Raw genomic sequence first — 18,185 nt, 5'->3', positions numbered from 1 at the left:
GCAGCTCACCTTTCATTTAGGTCGTGGCCTACACTGATTTTTTTTGATCACTGACTGTGTCTTTGTCTGTGTGTGTATGTTTTGTGTGTTACCATATTTTATCTGAGGAGGCTAAATAGTAGTACTATAATTGTTTTGTAAACATAAAACATTCCAGGAAGTCAATATTGCTTATCAATCGAGCTTTAAAACAGATACGAAATTAGACATGACAAGATGCCACGTCTAGTATCATACCAAAGCTAGCCAAGCTTGGTGGCCCGTGGATGTTATCCCAGCTACTTGGAAGGCTGATGCAGGAGAATCCGTTGAACCCTGGTGATGGAGTTTGCAGTAAAGTGAGATCACACCACTGTGCTCCAGCCTGGGCACCAGAGCGAGACGCTGTCTCAGAAATAAAAAGAGAATAAAATAATAAAATAGGAGAGATCACGGGAGAGAGAAATGCATACAACTGGGTGGGCAGTGTGGCTCATGCCTGGATCCCAGCATTTTGAGAGGCTGATGTGGGTGGATCACTAAAGGAAAGGAACTCAAGACCAGCCTGAGCAAATATTGTGAAACCTGGTCTCTACTGAAAATACAAAATATTTGCCAGGATTGGTGTCATATGATTGCAGTCGCAGCTGCTTAGGAGGGTGTGACTGGACAATTGCTTGAACCCGTGATAAGGAGGGAGCAGTGAGCTGAGATCACGCCACTGCACTCCAGCCTAGGTGACAGGGCAGGATTCTTTCTTAAAAAAAAAAAAATCAGTGAGAGAAAAAGATACAGAGACAAAAAGAAAGAAAGACAGGAAGGAAGAAAGGAAGGGAGGGAAGGAGGAAGGGAATGAAAATTTGTACCTAACAGTTGTAGATACTTTTGGCATACATGTGATATTTTGATACAAGTAATGTGAACTGGTAAGCGAGGGATCAAAGAGGGGATGGGGGTGGGTTAAATTATACTTGCTTAGAAGGAATAATATCTAGTGTTCAGTGGCACAGGATGACTACACTTAATAATGATTTATTGTACATCTCAAAATAATTAATAGAGCGAAGGTGGAATGTCGCTGATACCAAGAAAAGATACGCCAGACTCAGTGAGGTGGAATGTCGCTCATAATGAGAAAAGATATGCCAGACTCAGTGGCTCACGGCTATAATCACAACACTTTGGGAAGCCAGGGAAGGAGGATTATTTCGGTCTGGGAGTTTGAGACCAGCCTGAACAATATATCCAAAGCATTGTCCCTACCACACACACACAAACACAAAAGCTGGGCACGGTGGTTGGTGTGTGTCTGTAATTCCAGCTACTTGGGAGGCTGAAATGGAAGGCTTGCACATTTCAAGCCCGTGTTCAAGGCTGCAGTGAGCTATGATGGTGCCACTGCAGTCTAGGCTGGACAACAGTGTGAGACCTTGTCTCTAAAAAAGAAAAAAGAATCGGTAAGTGCTTGAACTGAAGGATACCCTATTTATTATGTATATATTTGTTGATTGATATAATTATTTTTGTGTTGGAGTCGCACTCTGTCACCCAGGCTAGAGTGCATGGTGCAATATCGGCTCACCGCAGCATCAGGCTCCCAGGTTCAAACCACTGTCCTGCCTGAGCCTCCCAATTAACTGCAACGTACTACAGGCAGGCACCACCATGCCCGGCTAATTTTTGTATTTTTGGTAGAGATGGGGTTTCATGGTGTTGGCCAGCCTGGTCTTCAACTCCTGTCCTAAAGTGCTCTGCAAGCCTCGGCCTCCCCAAGTGTTAGAATTAGAGACCTGAGCCATCACACATGGACAGTAAGATACACAAGACTCGGGAGATTTATCTTTTCACTTCATCCTCACAATGCTACAGGTGAATGAAAACACTCCATAACATGAATAACTCACTTGAAAATCAAAGTTGGTAACTTCTCCCTTTAAAATTATTTGTACCCTTACCCTGTAAAAATTGATGATTCTGTCAAAATTTTTCAAGAAAATACTTCCTCCTTGCAGATTAGTCTGTCAATTGTAAGAATTATGGACTGCAAAACTTCTGGAACTTGATGTATTTCATTTCTTTAGTTTGTATAATCAGGAAAATTAATTCATTTAGTTATTTCGGTCTAAATATTTGTATCATTCAGTGATGTCTTAAAACTTTAAGCAATCCCGTCGGAAACTTTATGCTGTTGTTTATGTTTTATACACTTCACTTTCCCCTAAGTATGAGGTTTAAAGCGTTTCCATTCATATTATCAATTAAATACGATAGGCTGACAGTGGTGGCACACGCCTATAATCTTAGCACTTCGGGAGTCTGAGGAGGGTGGATCAGGATTTTAAGAACAGCCTGGCAAACAAGGTGAAACGCTGTCTGCACTAAAAATACAAAAATTGGCCCCGCTGTGCGGCACACATATCTAATACCAGTTACTCAGGATGCTGAGGCAGGAGAATAGCTTGGATCCAGAAGGCAGCGGTTGCCATAAGCCAAGACAGAGCCACTGCACCCCAGCTTCGGCGACAAAGCTATACACTTCATCTCAAAAAAAAACTGATACTATCCCAACCACTCTAGATTATTCCTATCTGTAAGAACATATTACTAAACCATTACTTACAACATCCACTGTCAAAATATTCAAGAAAAAATTAACGTGGGAACCTCACAAGACAAAACACTTACTTTCCACTATTTAAACTACGAACATTTAAATTCATTATGCTACGCACCTGAGAAACTTAGCTGGTTCACTTCTGATTTAGGTGAAAAAAAAAGTTTTCATTACCGTTATCCTCTTCAGTCACAGAATGCTTCACATAGAATGTTCCGGATGTCTTAAACTTTAGTATCAATACATCTAATGATTTCCTTTGACCTGTACTATTCCTCTAAAAAATAAACGTTTTATGGTGAGGCAGACAGTTTTGTAGTCTTTCTGAAGACTTCTCCAACATTTTAACCTTGTTAGTTTTTAAAGAGAAACAGCCTAATTACAAAACTTGAGCAGCTTGCAAGGGCGACATAACACATCCCTAATTTTGTACCTATGTTCAAAGAAACAAAGGAAAATGTACAACAGACTACACAATTTACTCTCCTATTGAATTTGCTTTAAGCATGCGCGGCTAACCAATAACACCAGGCATCTTGCAGTACATGTCAAATTTTATTGTGAAAATTTTAAGGTAGATATTACATCTAAACACTTTTCAAATAGCATCAACAAGTATGAAATTACTTTGAAAACAATTCCTTTTCCTTTGAATACCTCAAAAAATTCATGGAGGAAGTTAGTATCTACCTCTCTCCACAAAACCAACATGTTTCTTTCAGTAATATGCAGGTAACAATGCAGAAATAACATTTCAATTTTTGATTTGCAAACAAGGATTGGTATGCAATAACTATTACTTTCAATGCTTGCTTTAATATCTGCTCGAGTCTCCTTTTTCAGATCGACTCTCCCCACCATCTACTATAGATGCCACATAACTTGAGCTACCATATGCTTCACGAGGATCAGGGAGCACCCTACCCAGAGAAGGCGGATTCCTTTGGTCTTTTCTGCAAACATGCTCACGATCACAATAATGAAAATCACCACAGCTCGAGTAACTCTCCCAACTTCTGCCATATCTATCTCGTGTATTACTATATGCGTGGCAGGTGCTTCCACCATAAGACATCCGAGGCCCTCTTGCAGGTGGTGCACCATGAGAGGTCCCTGCAGGGTTGGTAAAATAATATGTGGGACTACATTTAAACATTTTTACTGCTATCATTAAAGCATGAATTAGTTAAAGTACTATTTGGAAATATCTGCTTTCCTCCGCCTTTGTTGACAGGATATTAATCAAGGCTTTAATAGTCAGAAGGTTTTATTTAAGAGAAGTGTAAGAGTAGTATTTTGCAGCTTAACAAACTTAATTCTAAAGTAAATGCTCAGTCACATTTTCTTAACGTTAACTGAAGTTCTCACCTTCATATCATTCCCTAGGCTTTATACTGTTAAGAATACTCAATATTTAAACATGTTGCATATGGCCTTTACAATTTTCCTTAGAATTTCATTAAAATAACAATCTGGTCTATTAAATAAAATTCTGTAATTTACAAATCCATCCTGGACCCTTACCGTATCTCTGAAGTGCATCTCTATAAGAACTTCCACTTAGATGTTCAGAATGATCTCTACCAAGGGCCTCACCGTAGCCATCATGATAACTAAATTGAAAAAAAAAAAAGTCTTTTCAATTTCAGAATGAACAATTTAAGAAATCCATTTGATAAATCCAGATAACATGTTAGTACCTATATCCTCTAGAGGAATGTTCATCCCAACTAGAATGACCATAATCACGGTATGCATAGTCTCTATGTGGTGGAGCATAATCCCTGGTTTCTCGGGAACTTGGATGATTTCTGCGTGCACGAGTTGAAGCAAGGAATTTTAAATTGTCACCTTCTAGTATCCAAAACATAACTACATTACAACTTAAACACAATTAAATTGCCAAACATCTAAATAAAATGCCCACAGAGCCCAAATGCCCAAAATGCCCAAATGCCCAAAAAGCACATGAAACAGATACTCATAATCAGTGATTCAGGAAATGCATTTCAAATAAAAAAGGAGCTTCCACACTTCACACACACACACTGGAAGGGCAAAAAATTTTCAAAAGCAGGAAATAACAAGTGTTTGAGAGGATGTAGATAAATTGGAGCCCTGATACAATGTTAGTTGGAATGAACAATTTAAGAAATCTATTTGATAAATCCAGAAAAAGTTACAGTATCTATATCCTCTAGAGGAATGTTCATCCTGCCTAGAATGACCATAGTCTCAGTATGCCTAGCCTCTAGATGGTGGAGCATAATCCCTAGTTTCTCGGGAACTTGGATGATTTGTGTGTGCATAAGTTTAAGCAACAAGTTTTAAATTTTCATCTTCTAGTATCGAATACATGACTAACTTACAACTTTAAATTAAAAGGCCAAACATCTAAATAGGTATTTCTCCAAATAAAATAGGCAAATGCCCAAAAAGGACAAGTGACAGATACTCATATTCAGTGATTCAGAAAATGCATTTCTTTTTGTTTTATTATACTTTAAGTTCTAGCATACATGTGCATGATGAGTTAATGGGTGCAGAAAATGCATTTCAAATCCAAAATGAGATATCATATTTCACACACACAGATGAATGGCAATAGATTTTCAAAAGCAGGAAATAACAAGTGTTTGAGAGGATGTAGATAAATTGGAGCCCTGATACAATGTTAGTTGGAATGAACAATTTAAGAAATCTATTTGACAAATCCAGAAAAATTACAGTACCTATATCCTCTAGAATAACTTTCATGTCGACGAGAATGACCATAATCACGGTATCCATGGCCTCTAGATGGTGGAGCATACTCCCTAGTTTCTCGGGAACTTCGACGATTTCTGTATGCATAAGTTTAAGCAACAAATTTTAAATTTTCAACTTGTAGTATCCGATATATGACTAACTTACAACTTAAACAAAATTAAAAGGCCAAACATCTAAATAGATATTTCTCCAAATAAAATGGGCAAACGCCCAAAAAGCACATGGGACAGATACTCATATTCAGTGATTCAGAAAATGCATTTCTTTTTTTTATTATACTTTAAGTTCTAGGGTCCATGTGCATGACGAGTTAATGGGTGCAGAAAATGCATTTCAAATCCAAAATGAGATATCATATTTCACACACAGATGAATGGCAATAAATTTTCAAAAGCAGGAAATAACAAGTGTTGGAGAGGATGCAGATAAATTGGAGCCCTGATACAATGTTAGTTGGAATGAACAATTTAAGAAATCTATTTGACAAATCCACAAAAAGTTACAGTACCTGTATCCTCTAGAATAACTTTCATCCCGACGAGAATGACCATAATCACGGTATGCATGGCCTCTAGATGGTGGAGCATAATCCCTAGTTTCTCGGGAACTTCGATGATTTCTGTATGCATAAGTTTAAGCAACAAATTTTAAATTTTCAACTTCTAGTATCCGATACATGACTAACTTACAACTTAAACAAAATTAAAAGGCCAAACATCTCAATGGATATTTCTCCAAATAAAATGGGCAAATGCCCAAGATGCACATGGGACACATACTCATATTCAGTGATTCAGAAGACGCATTTCTTTTTTTTTTAATTATACTTTAAGTTCTAGGGTCCATGTGCATGATGAGTTAATGGGTGCAGAAAATGCATTTCAAATCCAAAATGAGATATCATATTTCATACGCACACACTGGAAGGGCAATAAATTTTCAAAAGCAGGAAATAACAAGTGTTTGAGAGGATGTAGATAAATTGGAGCCCTGATAGAACGTTAGTTGGAATGAGCAATTTAAGAAATCTATTTGACAAATTCAGAAAAAGTTACAGTACCTATATCCTCTAGAGGAATGTTCATCCCGATTAGAATGACCATTATCACGGTATGCATAGCCTCTAGATGGTGGAGCATAATCCCTCGTTTCTTGGCAACTTGGATGATTTCTGTGTGCATAAGTTTAAGCAACAAATTTTAAATTTTCAACTTCTAGTATCCAATACATGACTAACTTACAACTTAAACAAAATTAAAAGGCCAAACATCTAAACAGATATTTCTCCAAATAAAATCGGCAAATGCCCAAAAAGCACACGGGACTGATACTCATATTCAGCGATTCAGAAAATGCATTTCTTTTTGTTTCATTATACTTTAAGTTCTAGGATACATGTGCATGATGAGTTAATGGGTGCAGAAAATGCATTTCAAATCGAAAATGGGATATCATATTTCAAACACACATTTGAATGGCAATAAATTTCAAACAGCAGGAAATAACAAGTGTTTGAGAGGATGTAGATAAATTGGATTGCTGATACAATGCTAGGTTGGAACGGAAAATGATGCAGCTACTATGGAGAAATGTGGTGGTTCCTCAAGAAAACAAACATCATTATCATAGGACCATGCAATTCCACTCATATACACCCAGAACCGAGTAAGCACACTCAAACAAATATTGGTGCGTAGAAATACTCGGGTGGAAACAACGCAGATAAAATAATGGGTTAATAGCTTGTGGAAGGAGTGAAGTGCTATGATGTAAATGAACCTTCAGGACATCATGCAAAAGGAGAGGAGACAAATACAAAAAGTCATGTAGTGTTTGAGCACATTAACATTAAATACCCACAACAGGTAAGTTCAGAGGCAGAACACTGACTGGTGTTATCTAGCAGCTGAGGAAAAGGAGAAAATGGGAGGGACTGCTTAACTGGTAGTAGGAGTTTCAATTTGGAGTGATGAAAATGTTCTGGAACTCGATGGAGGTAGTTGTTGCATGGCACAGAATGTATCAAACACCACCTAACTGTTCACCTTATAATATTTAATTTTGTTATGTGAATTTCATCACCACAGGAAAAAAAAATCAACTGTGCTTTTTAATTTTTCCTTTACCCATCGTTAGTTGCATAACCATCATGTCTTGTTGACATGCGATCATTTCTCCAGGAAGATATTGTCGCTCTGCGTGGAGGAACTCCATAATTCTCTCTTCTTTGTGACATGGGACCTTTAACATTCAAATGATGGAACATTACGTAAAGAACACCAAATCTGAAACGCTATTTTCTCTTCTCTCAAACAACTTTTTAAAATTATTTCTTCTATGACTCCATTCTTTGTTTCCTAAATTACTAGACAGACATGACACTGTGAATATTTCTCATGGCTTTGGATAATCCCATGGCTCCCACAAGGCCAGTTCTTCTAATGAAGCTGAAGGCAAACATTAATGCTTAGGTAAAAGTTCATTTGTAATGGTTAATAACTACTTAGTTATTATTTTCCTTTCCATATAAATTACTGATGACTGTGAGTGACACAGGGAAAACACGTAAAACCATCAAACTCTTCACTGATTTTAAAGTTTACATACATTGTTCTTTCTCAGCCAAAGAAGGTAGATTTTCCAATATCATTCAGTCCATCTCACAGACACATAAATACAGCTACCTTTAAATGACTATATGCTAAATGTTTACATAAAAGTTCTTTAACTGGTTGGCTCTATCTTAAATGTTGACAAATTAAAATGTATTAGTGAAGATTTTCTAATGATGGTCAAGATTTGCTTTTACTGCAAAGAAAGCAATGCTATGCAAGGGGTCATTACAACATTGTTGCTGTTTCAAAATAGAAAGTTTCTCCTCTAATATATTCTTCACTTGCTATTCCTTAGCGGTCAGTGTTTCACATATGATACCTTCACTGGCTAATTTTCCAATGGAAATGTGTTGGCTTGGGTATCCTGAAGCCAATAAATACCTCCCTTCACCGATACTCTACGTATGAAATGTAAAATTGAAAATGGCAGTTTTTAACTTCCTCCGTATGCGGATGGAGGACTAAGAAAGAATTTTAATTTGCTCTGCTTAAACTTCCTTGCTAAGAACTTTTATTTATTGTCTTATTTTCTTCTGTTCAGTCTGCAGTCTTACAATTCTTCTCAAAAGTATTACTTGCATTCAACCCTACCGCTCACCTCATGTTGCTGAGTTCTAAATTCTCTCCTCAAATAATTTCAAATCTTACACTAAGGATCTTGTGTTAATGTTTAAACATCCCGGTACAATCTCAATTACTGATTTACATACACCTATATTTCACAACTCTGCATTTCTGTGATATCCACTTAATTTAAGAATTTTGGACTCCTACGTGTCTACCTCTCGAGCCTTAAATTTATTTTTAAATCATATTTAAGCCCAATGACTCCTTGTCTGCTAAATGCTCTTGTAGTTCTTTTGAATCTTCATGCAAGCAGTGAGTATGCCTTGCACATACGCATTACTGAGGTCTCAGAAGCTGGATGGCCAGGCTTAGCGGCTCACACTGTGAGTGAGTGTGGAAGGCTGAGGCAGCTGGACCGCTTGAGCCCCAGGCTTTAACATCAGTTTTGACAATGTAGTCAGATCCTCTCTCTACAAAAACATAGGGAAAAAAATGTAGCTAGGTGTGCTGCTGCATGCCTGTAGTTGCACAAACTCGGGAGGCTGAAACAGCAGAATTGCTTGAGCCCAGGAATTTGAGGCTATAGTAAGCCGTCATCTCACAAATTTGAGGCTACAGTAAGCCGTCGTCTCACATAGTGCACTCTCACCTAGTAAGAGCAAGACTCCAACCCAGCAAAGTCACCGAACAAGCAATTTTTAGAATGGGACACCAGGGGACTTAGGAAATGGAAGAGTTAATTAGATCAAGAAGCCTACCATCAAAGAATACTGCTAGGAACTTTTAGAAAAATTAAGGGGAATTTTCTAGCCAACACAGGATTAAAAGGAATGTTGGCCTCACTCTAATCACTTCTTTGATCTGCAATGAGAAGCTCAAGTATTTCTTCAACATAAATCTGAAATGTACCTAGTGAGATAGAAACTATAATAAAAGCTATCAATCAGTAATTATGCTCACGTATGTGTCACTTCTCTTTTGTTCAATGAACTTAAAGCTAAGCATTCAGGTAAAACGGCTCATTTTTAGTCATACAAAAACTACGGTCTTTCTGTCAGGCAGCATTTACCTTGGCTTCCCATCCAACTATTGCTTCTTGCCACAGCAGAAGGAGCAGATTTTTTCGGAGGAGGACCTCCACTTCTTGAAGATGGACCTCTTTTAACTGGAATGAGTCCCCTAGAATAACTCATCTTGAGATCAGGAGTGTATCCACCATCATCTGTATTTCAAACAAAATCTTTTTAGTTAACTGACGTCACTGTTTCTTAAATGGCTAAGTTTTAGTTGTTTACAAATATTTTCTACATTTTATAACAAATTCACATTTTGTCTAAACTAATAAAATTAGCATTCCTACAAGGTATTAGTACACTTCAAGCATTAAAAGTTCATTTAGAAAATCTAGAAAGAAACTCAAGTATCATAATATATCGGTATGAAGGAGAGATGTGGGAAAATGGGGAGTGAACGGGGGCAGAAATCTATCACTAAAATATCCAAATATAATATACATAAAAATATTAAAAGAAAAATGATAAATGACTGTTTATATCATTCTGTAATGAGGAAAAATTTTCAAAGCACATCATAAAGATAAACTAATTTCCATTCAAAGAAACTCAAATATTTCCAATACCAAGAAATCACATATCAGGAAAATACATTGTCTCTAAAATTTGTTAACACAATATAGAATTCTTAAAATTCCCTTATGAGACACTAATTTTCAGATGAGACTATGCTGAATTTTAACAGTCTTTAAGAATTGCATATTCGGTAATATAAACATATTTTTATACATCTACAAAAACGTAGATATATGCCAATTGCCAGGTGGTGTTACAGGTTAGAATTTATGTACACATTCTCGTCCGTGGCAGAGTATAATTGAAGCTCACCCTCAAGATCAGTGGAGGCAAAACAGCCGTGAAGCTACGCATCTTAAAATGGAGCAAACACTGCAATTTCAACTTGAAAACAATCTCCAATTAATTACATGTCTGGTTATTAAAACTCCAAGCTATTTGTTAGAGTTCTGAAGGTTGGTTAATAGATAATACAAGTTAACCAACAGGTTTATTTATTTATTTATTCAGATGCACTCTTGCCCTATCACGCAGGCTGGAGTGCCATGGCATAACCTTGGCTCACTGCAGCTTTTGCCTCCCAGGTTCCTGTGATTCTCCTGCCTCAGCCTCCTGAGTAGCTGGGATTACAGGTGCACGCCACCAGGCCCAGGCAAATTTTTTTGTATCTTTAGGAGAGACAGGGTTTCACCATGTTGGCCAGGCTGGTCTGGAACTCCTGACCTCGTGGTCCACCTCCCCTGTACTCCCCAGGTGCTGAGGTGACAGGCGTGAGCCACCTCGCACAGCCCATCCAATAGTTTTTTCTTTTTCCTTTTTTTTAAATATATGGTTTGTTTTTCTTTTATATGTAAAGATGGACCCCTCATTTCTATTAAGTAAATCACTCATAAATATCATTTTCAGTGACTCAGCCTCCAGCAAAGAAAGATTCATACATATCTGTGAAGCAGTGGTTTTTAGATCTTTCCAGAGTCACAGACTCTTTTCAGAAATTAAAGTTCTACATTTCTTAAATTGAAAATGCTTTACGGCAGGCCAATGTACAAACTCTCTGTATCAAAATTACAAAGCAATACATTTGCATAGATGTTTCCACATGTAGACACAAGAAAACAAATACTGCAAAATCAATCTTCAGTATTCAGTTACTTCTTCCTGTTGGAAAATTTTAAATATTACATCGTACTTTGATAATACAACTGACACGAAGTTCTGGGCCCTAAAGTAGAAAACTCTAAAGTATAATGAATATAAATGAGTTCTGCAGAAAACCGGTTGAGTACAGGCAATCAGCATTCACAAACACAACTCAGTTTCAAATGTGTGTTACTTCAGTGCAAACTTATTATAATTGTTAAACAAATTTTAGATATTAGTTCAATCATTCTTATAATACACCTTTATAGTACTTAGAAATAAGTTTGCTTATTATCAATAAGCTAATTTTCTCTTCATACAGGAAAGAAAAAAATTAAGAAATTTCAATATCGTCAAACTTATTTTCTTTCAGTCCTATGGTTCCATCTTTATATTTTAAAACATTACCCAGGTGCCCTTCTTGTGAGGGAAGCCACCCTCTTGTTCCTCCACGGCTTCCTCTTGCAGATCTCAGACTTCCTGAAGGGCTTCTGTTTCTCGAAGAAGCTGGTGGTCTCCGCCTACCACCACTTTGAAAAGATGGTTTCTTGGCTTGTTCTACTTTTATTGCTTTTCCATGCAAAGACTAGAAGTATTAAGGGTACTATCAATAACACCGGCACATTTAACGTAAGCACATTTTACAAACATTTTTACATCAACTGTAGTTCAATTTGAGGTATTTTTCTCCCAAAAGGAAACTTTTTTTTCTTCTAAAATGAACACATCTTTCGCAATGCCAAATTTGAGATAGTTACTGAGCACATGCCTTCCATTAAGGGATCAAACACAAATTCTATTATTCAAATTCCTTGAAAACTTTTCCATCATTAAAAAAAAAAAAAACTCAAACATAAAAAAAAAGTTTGACCCATCACACATTCTGTGGAAGAATGTGGCACATCTGTTTTTTACAATATATAATCCACTTCATCTTTGTAGTCACATCACTGATTTGAAAGTTGCAGTGTCCCAATGAAACTCGTGTCATTTAAAAAAAAAATGAGCTTACTTTTTCAGAGTGATTAGGCACATTACTCATTATGAGTTGTTTCTTGTTGGATTTGCTAACACTTCCATAAAATGTCCCCATATGATTTACAATTCTATATTGACTCTAAAAATGTTTCTGTAAATGTGATCCTTGTTTGATCTCATTAAGTTTTCTTGCCTTACTCATTTCTTACATTGCCTTAGACGTGCCCCTAAAAAACGAATCTTAATATAGTACTTCAGGTAATTTCTCAGAAATGCTTAACTATCCTAATTAATTTCATAATAACATTTTTCACTGTAATCTTTTCTACAGGCCACAGCAATTTTTGAAAACAGTTCAGCTAATAATGCGATTTAAAAATTACATGGCTTTTGTTATTTGGAGGAAGGACTTAAATCCCTGAACAAGACCGCTTGCAGCCACATCGCCCGTTGTTCCTACCTTGAAACTTCTTTTGTTATTTCTGGGCTCAAAATATTTTCCCCAGATTTGCCCACGGCTGCTTCCTTCCCAGTGTTCTGAAGTCAGCCAAAATTCCTTAACTGTTAATTCCCCCTGAAAACTCAAAGAACCTCCTTTATTGGCCATCTTAACATTAATGTGCATACAACATTCATAGTTATTTTAACACAATAAAATACGTGAGATGAAGTAATTTAGAAATAACGTTGGCTGGGCGCGGTGGCTCACACCGGTAATCCCAATACTTTGGGAGGCCAAGGCGGGTGGATCATGAGGTGAAGAGATAGAGCTCACCCTGGCTAACAGGGTGAAACCCCATCCCTACTCAAAGTACAAAATTAGCTGGGCGTGGTGGCGCGCCTCTGTAGCCCCTGGTACTGGGAGGCTGAGGCAGGAGAATCGCTTGAACCCGGGAGGCGGAGGTTGCAGTGAGCCAAGATGGCCCCACTGCAATCCAGCCTAGGGCACACAGCGAGTCTCCATCTTAAAAAACAAACAAACGAACAAAAACTTTACACAAATTACCTGCCCTTTTGCTTGAAAACTAGAGGGAAAAAAGAAATTATCATAGCTTCCTATACAGAAGTCAAAATTATCTCCATACCTACCACAAAGCCATGAACCAAAAGCAACTCTCGGTTTCTACCACAGCTTGAAATACTAATTTATAAGGGTGAATAAAAATGTACTTTCTGCTATGTGACAGGAAGTGTGCTAGATGTAACAGAAAGAAAAGCAACTAGCAAGACTTAAATATGCACTATATACAATTTCACGATCAATAGATTAATACATAGTACAGCGAGTAGAAAATACCTACAATACGCAATGAGGAAGAAAATTATGAAATCTAAGTGGTTTTTGAAGCATAAATTTTATTTATGAGCCATACACAGGGAAGGATAATTCTCAAGAAGTCTAAAAAAGCACTTTGGGAATAGCGTGAAGACTAACAGGACCTAAAAACAGATTGGGATAACGTTATTTATTTATTTTATTTATTTTTTGTTTTTTTGAGACGGATTCTTGCTCTGTTGCCAGGCTGGAGTGCATCGGCGTGATCTCGGCTCACTGCAACCTCTGCCTCCTTGGGTTTAACCGATTCCCCTGCCTCAGCCTACTGACTAGCTGGAACTACAGGCACACACAACCAGATGCAGCTAATTTTTTTTTTTGTATTTTAGTAGCGACAGGGTTTCACCATGTTGGCCATTATGGTTTCTTTCTCCTGACCTTGTGATCTGCCCGCCTTGGCCACCCAAAGCGCTGGGATTACACGCATGAGCCACCATGCCCGGCATGATTGGGATAATGTTATAAAGCAAAAAACACTAAAGAGCACAGAATGGAATGCTCTTGACTACAATGTAAAGGAATTCAATAATTAATATCATTACATAGAAGTTTAAAGCTTAAGTAAACACACAATCTCTAGATTTAAGACTCAACAGGACAAGAGACCATTGGTTCAATCAAAACAAGTCCTCAAACACACTGGGGAAATGAGTAATTAGCTATTCATGTTACATAAATCACTCTGGTGACAGGAAAGAAATGTCCTTAGGAGAAAAAGCAAGCATGGAGCCAAGAATGCCAGTTACTTCTTCTGTTATCTGACTTCAATGTTCTCATATTATTTTCTATTTTCAACTACTTAACCTTTCCGTAAATGTAAAGGTCTTATTTAAATACACTTTCGCAAGAATATATTTTCATAAAATATATTCTTCAAGAAGGAAAGAGTCTTTCCTTCTTGTGCGTCTGTCTAGATGTCTATCCAGTTTGTCTACGCTCTAAAAGTATTTCCATGAATTGGATGTACTTCAATTAATAGCATTTAATAAATATTGACTTATTACTTTCATTTACATGAGGGTTCCTTATAAGTTTTAAAGCTCTTCAAAACCTTTTAAAATCTATTTGCACTCATATCGAAATACAAACATAGAAAAAGGTTACCAAATATTAATTTATGTAATGTTAATTCCAATACCCTTCCAACTACACTTGCACGTATATGGCACAAAAAAGAGGATGGCTTCATGTGTCATTCTACTATCCTCAAAAGTTTAGCAATATTAAAAAGACCTAGAAATATTGTTAATTGAAGAACAGAGTTAGAATATTAGTAATAAGGGACTCTTACCTTTCCATTCATATCTTTGGCAGCATTCTTAGCATCTGCAGGGTTCTCAAAAGTAATAAATGCAAAGCCTCTGGATTTGCTGGTTCGATCCTTTATCAAAAGAACTAAAATATATGAAAACATTTTACATTCATATAATGGACTCATCAAGGTACTCACCATCTAAAGGTTACATCAAACTAAAAAATAATTGCATTTCACATCACTATTATGGTTCTCGATACTCAGTCACCCCTACAGTCAGTCTAGTTTATTCCAGTTTGTTTCGGAACTCCACAGCACATTTACTTTCCCTCATTTTCCTTTCTAAGTAGTAGGTTATCCTTTCCATAGAACCTTAACCTACTACTATGAGAATTTTCCAAATATCAAACAGATACTACAAAATAAGAGTTTAAAATGCATAAGGCATTTTAATGTAGGTATACAATGAACTTTGAAAAAATATATTTTTTCAAAACATATATATATAACATACATATTTTAAACATACCTATTGAAATATACATGTGAAAATACACACACACACACACACACACACACACACACACACACACACACACGGTTTTAAGAGTTACCTTCTGATATGGGACCATGTTTCCCAAATACTGCTTTAAGCATCTTCTCATTGGTTTCTCTATTGAGGCCACCAATGAAAAGCTTGCCAGGATGATCTGCTTCTACCATTGTGCTGTAAATGGTAAAAAATTATCTATATTTAGATATAAATAAGCTAAAAAGATAAAATTTTATTACATACTGTGCTGAAAACCCAAGTAAAATTCCCTTCCTGAGGCTGACATCTTTTTAGTATTTCTTACTTTATATATGTAAAATTTGTAACACTCAGAGCAAAGGGGCACTAACTTCATGGACAAATGCTGCATTTTAGTATGTACCTGACAAAAATCTCATTTCTAAAAATTAGATAAGAAAAGCTATTGTAATTTTCCTCAGTTGCAATATGAAGAATGTCCCCATTTAAATAATTTTATTTGAAAAGAATCTATTTATGAGGTACAGTGTGATGTTTTGCATATTTTCTTTCTTGAGATGTCTGTCTCCTGTCGCCAAAGTGAACTGCTCACTGCAGGCTCTTCCACCCAGCCTCAACTGATCTTCCTACATCTCAGCTTCCCAAGTAGCTAGTACTACAGGCGCTTTCTACCACAGCTGGGCAATTTTTTGTATTTTTAAAAATAGACAAGGGTTTCCCCATAGTGCCCAAGCTAGTCTCCAAATCTTCGGCTCAAGTGTTCTGCCGGCTTGGGACTACCAAAGTGATGGGATTTCAAGGGTGACTCACCACACTCAGCATGATATTTGGATAAGAGATTAAATCAAGCTACTTAAAATGTTCTAGGAGGAGAATATTTTAAATATTTTACCATCTTTTAGTGATTTGAAATATACAATAGGTCAAAGATCCCCAAACCCTAGCCTTCAACCCGTACCTATCTGTGGCCTGAATGTGATGCCGGAGGATGACCTGCAATACCTGTCTGTGGAGAATGTAACGCCTGAGGATGACCTGAGGTGGTACAGTTTTATCCGGAAACCATCCTCCCTACTCCCTCGCTGGCCCTCCCTGTCCCCGTGACAGCCTCACTGCCCCACCTGGCCTCTGTCACATTGCTCCTACCGGAAGACCCGCCCCACCACGTGCCCCTCGGAGACCTGCCGCCAGCCCCCACTCCCAAACCTGTCCACCTCGCCGCCTTCTTCCCCTGCGCAACCTTTCTCTGAGGAAAAACTGACTTCCACTAAACCAGTCCCTGATGCGAAAATAGCAATGAAAGAGTCCAGTACGTTACCCAGGCTGGTCTCAAACTCCTGACTTCAAGCCATCCTCCGACCTCCACTTCCCAAAATGCTAGGACTACAGGAGTAAGGCAGTGTGCCAGGTTAACAGAATAACTTAAGCGCATCTATTTTGTTCCAGTTTTCGGCTATCTAACTCCATTTGTCTCGATTACACCCACTTATTCGGTTTAAATTATTTACGGTGCCAAAGACACATGAAACGTTTCAAATACTGCCATACAACGAAGGAGACGATCACAGGCTTTACAGAGGCAAACTGAAACTCACATTATTTGTGGCCCCATATTTCTACATACACTAAAGTAACACAATTTATGTCAAAATTTGATAATTCTTCCAAGCAAATCAGACACGCGACATGTGCTAACCAAAAGTGTGACTTTTTAATCGCAGTGGTTAAGTGTATTGCCTGTATTCTGAATTATCACCACATTCACAGAGAAAACCCGCTTTAATAAAAAGTGCACATGAAAACCAATGGCGGCTTAGCACCATCTCCCACAACTAGTCGGACACATTAGGCAGTTAAAGGTAGAATCCTCAGGAAAAATCAATGAGTTTAACGAAAGTGAGTCTCTTAATAGCACTGAGGAGTTCTTTCCCCACTGACTCCTCCCGTAATTCAACACCCACACATAGAAAACCCATCCCCTTTTATAGACAAAATCCCAAACCTTCGCTTTCTATTCTTGCCGAGAGACCCAGCTGTCCAGAGAAACAGAAAATACCTGCGCTTTTTAGTAGGACAAAGAGCCTGAGGTTCGCCTGGCCCTCAGGCCGTACGTAACCGGCTTCGGAACACCACAGGGCCAACTGCGGGAGGGACAGCTGGAGCTTCCCTGAGAGGGAAGGACGCCGGAAGCCGTGCCCGGAAATCCCGCCTACCTCCAGCGGCCAATCATTGCGAAGGCGGTGGGCGTCAGCCAGTTACTGCAAAGGCTGTGGGCGTGTCCTGAGGCCGCTCCGCCCCAGCAGGCCTGCGGCTCCATCATCTCGCGGTAACTCTTCCGAGACCACGCTTGTGCCACGTGGCGGGCCGCGGTGGATTAAGGCACACGCGAACTGTGAGCCCTTTGCAATTGTGGGCATGGAAGACCTACACCCTAACTGGCATCCTGAGTGTGGCAAGACATTAACTAACCCACAGGGAACACATGAAACATCTCACTTCATTAGGCAGGCTAGGCTGATGGTACTGAATATTGCGGATCCAGAGGGGAGAGAGAGGGACCAGCGCTGCTGCTGGGGCGAGGGCAGCAGCGGTGGCTTGGGGGGATTGGGGCAGGGCGGGTGCGTGGGACTAAAGTCGACTGGTACGTTGCTGAGGTGGAATTCATCTGCACCAGAAGCTGAAACCCTGCAAGGATTCTGTCAGGTCTAGGCAAATACATACTCCGAGTTCCATGGTTCCTCCCTGAGGATGCTGTACTCACAGGGGCATTCCAAAGGACTTCTCATCCTGTGCCCTGGGCACACGGGAGGC

General features: G+C 38.4%; 1 protein-coding gene across 4 annotated transcripts; it reads right to left on the bottom strand.

Moving 5' to 3' along the window:
• Positions 1-1,699: 1,699 nt before the first annotated feature.
• RBMY1B (RNA binding motif protein Y-linked family 1 member B) lies at positions 1,700-17,578 on the bottom strand. 4 transcript variants are annotated; one of them, XM_017030056.2, is made up of 12 exons: positions 17,431-17,578; positions 15,457-15,569; positions 14,879-14,982; positions 11,682-11,859; positions 9,614-9,766; positions 7,489-7,603; positions 6,423-6,533; positions 5,871-5,981; positions 5,326-5,436; positions 4,294-4,404; positions 4,118-4,206; positions 1,700-2,870 (listed from the first exon to the last, which is right to left on the bottom strand). In XM_017030056.2, exons 2-12 carry the CDS (start codon positions 15,563-15,565, stop codon positions 2,863-2,865), a joined length of 1,200 nt encoding a protein of 399 aa, XP_016885545.1. In that variant the 5' UTR covers positions 15,566-15,569; positions 17,431-17,578; the 3' UTR covers positions 1,700-2,862. The 4 variants fall into 4 exon arrangements, with proteins under 4 accessions (XP_016885545.1, NP_001006121.1, NP_001307877.1 ...); NM_001006121.4 differs by lacking the exon at positions 1,700-2,870 and adding an exon at positions 3,130-3,706; NM_001320948.2 differs by lacking the exons at positions 1,700-2,870; positions 4,294-4,404 and adding an exon at positions 3,130-3,706.
• Between the last annotated feature and the right edge of the window lie 607 nt (positions 17,579-18,185).

This window comes from Homo sapiens, chromosome Y (assembly GCF_000001405.40).
Source record: "Homo sapiens chromosome Y, GRCh38.p14 Primary Assembly".
Taxonomy (NCBI): domain Eukaryota; kingdom Metazoa; phylum Chordata; class Mammalia; order Primates; family Hominidae; genus Homo; species Homo sapiens.
This window is presented reverse-complemented; position numbering and strand designations above follow the sequence as displayed.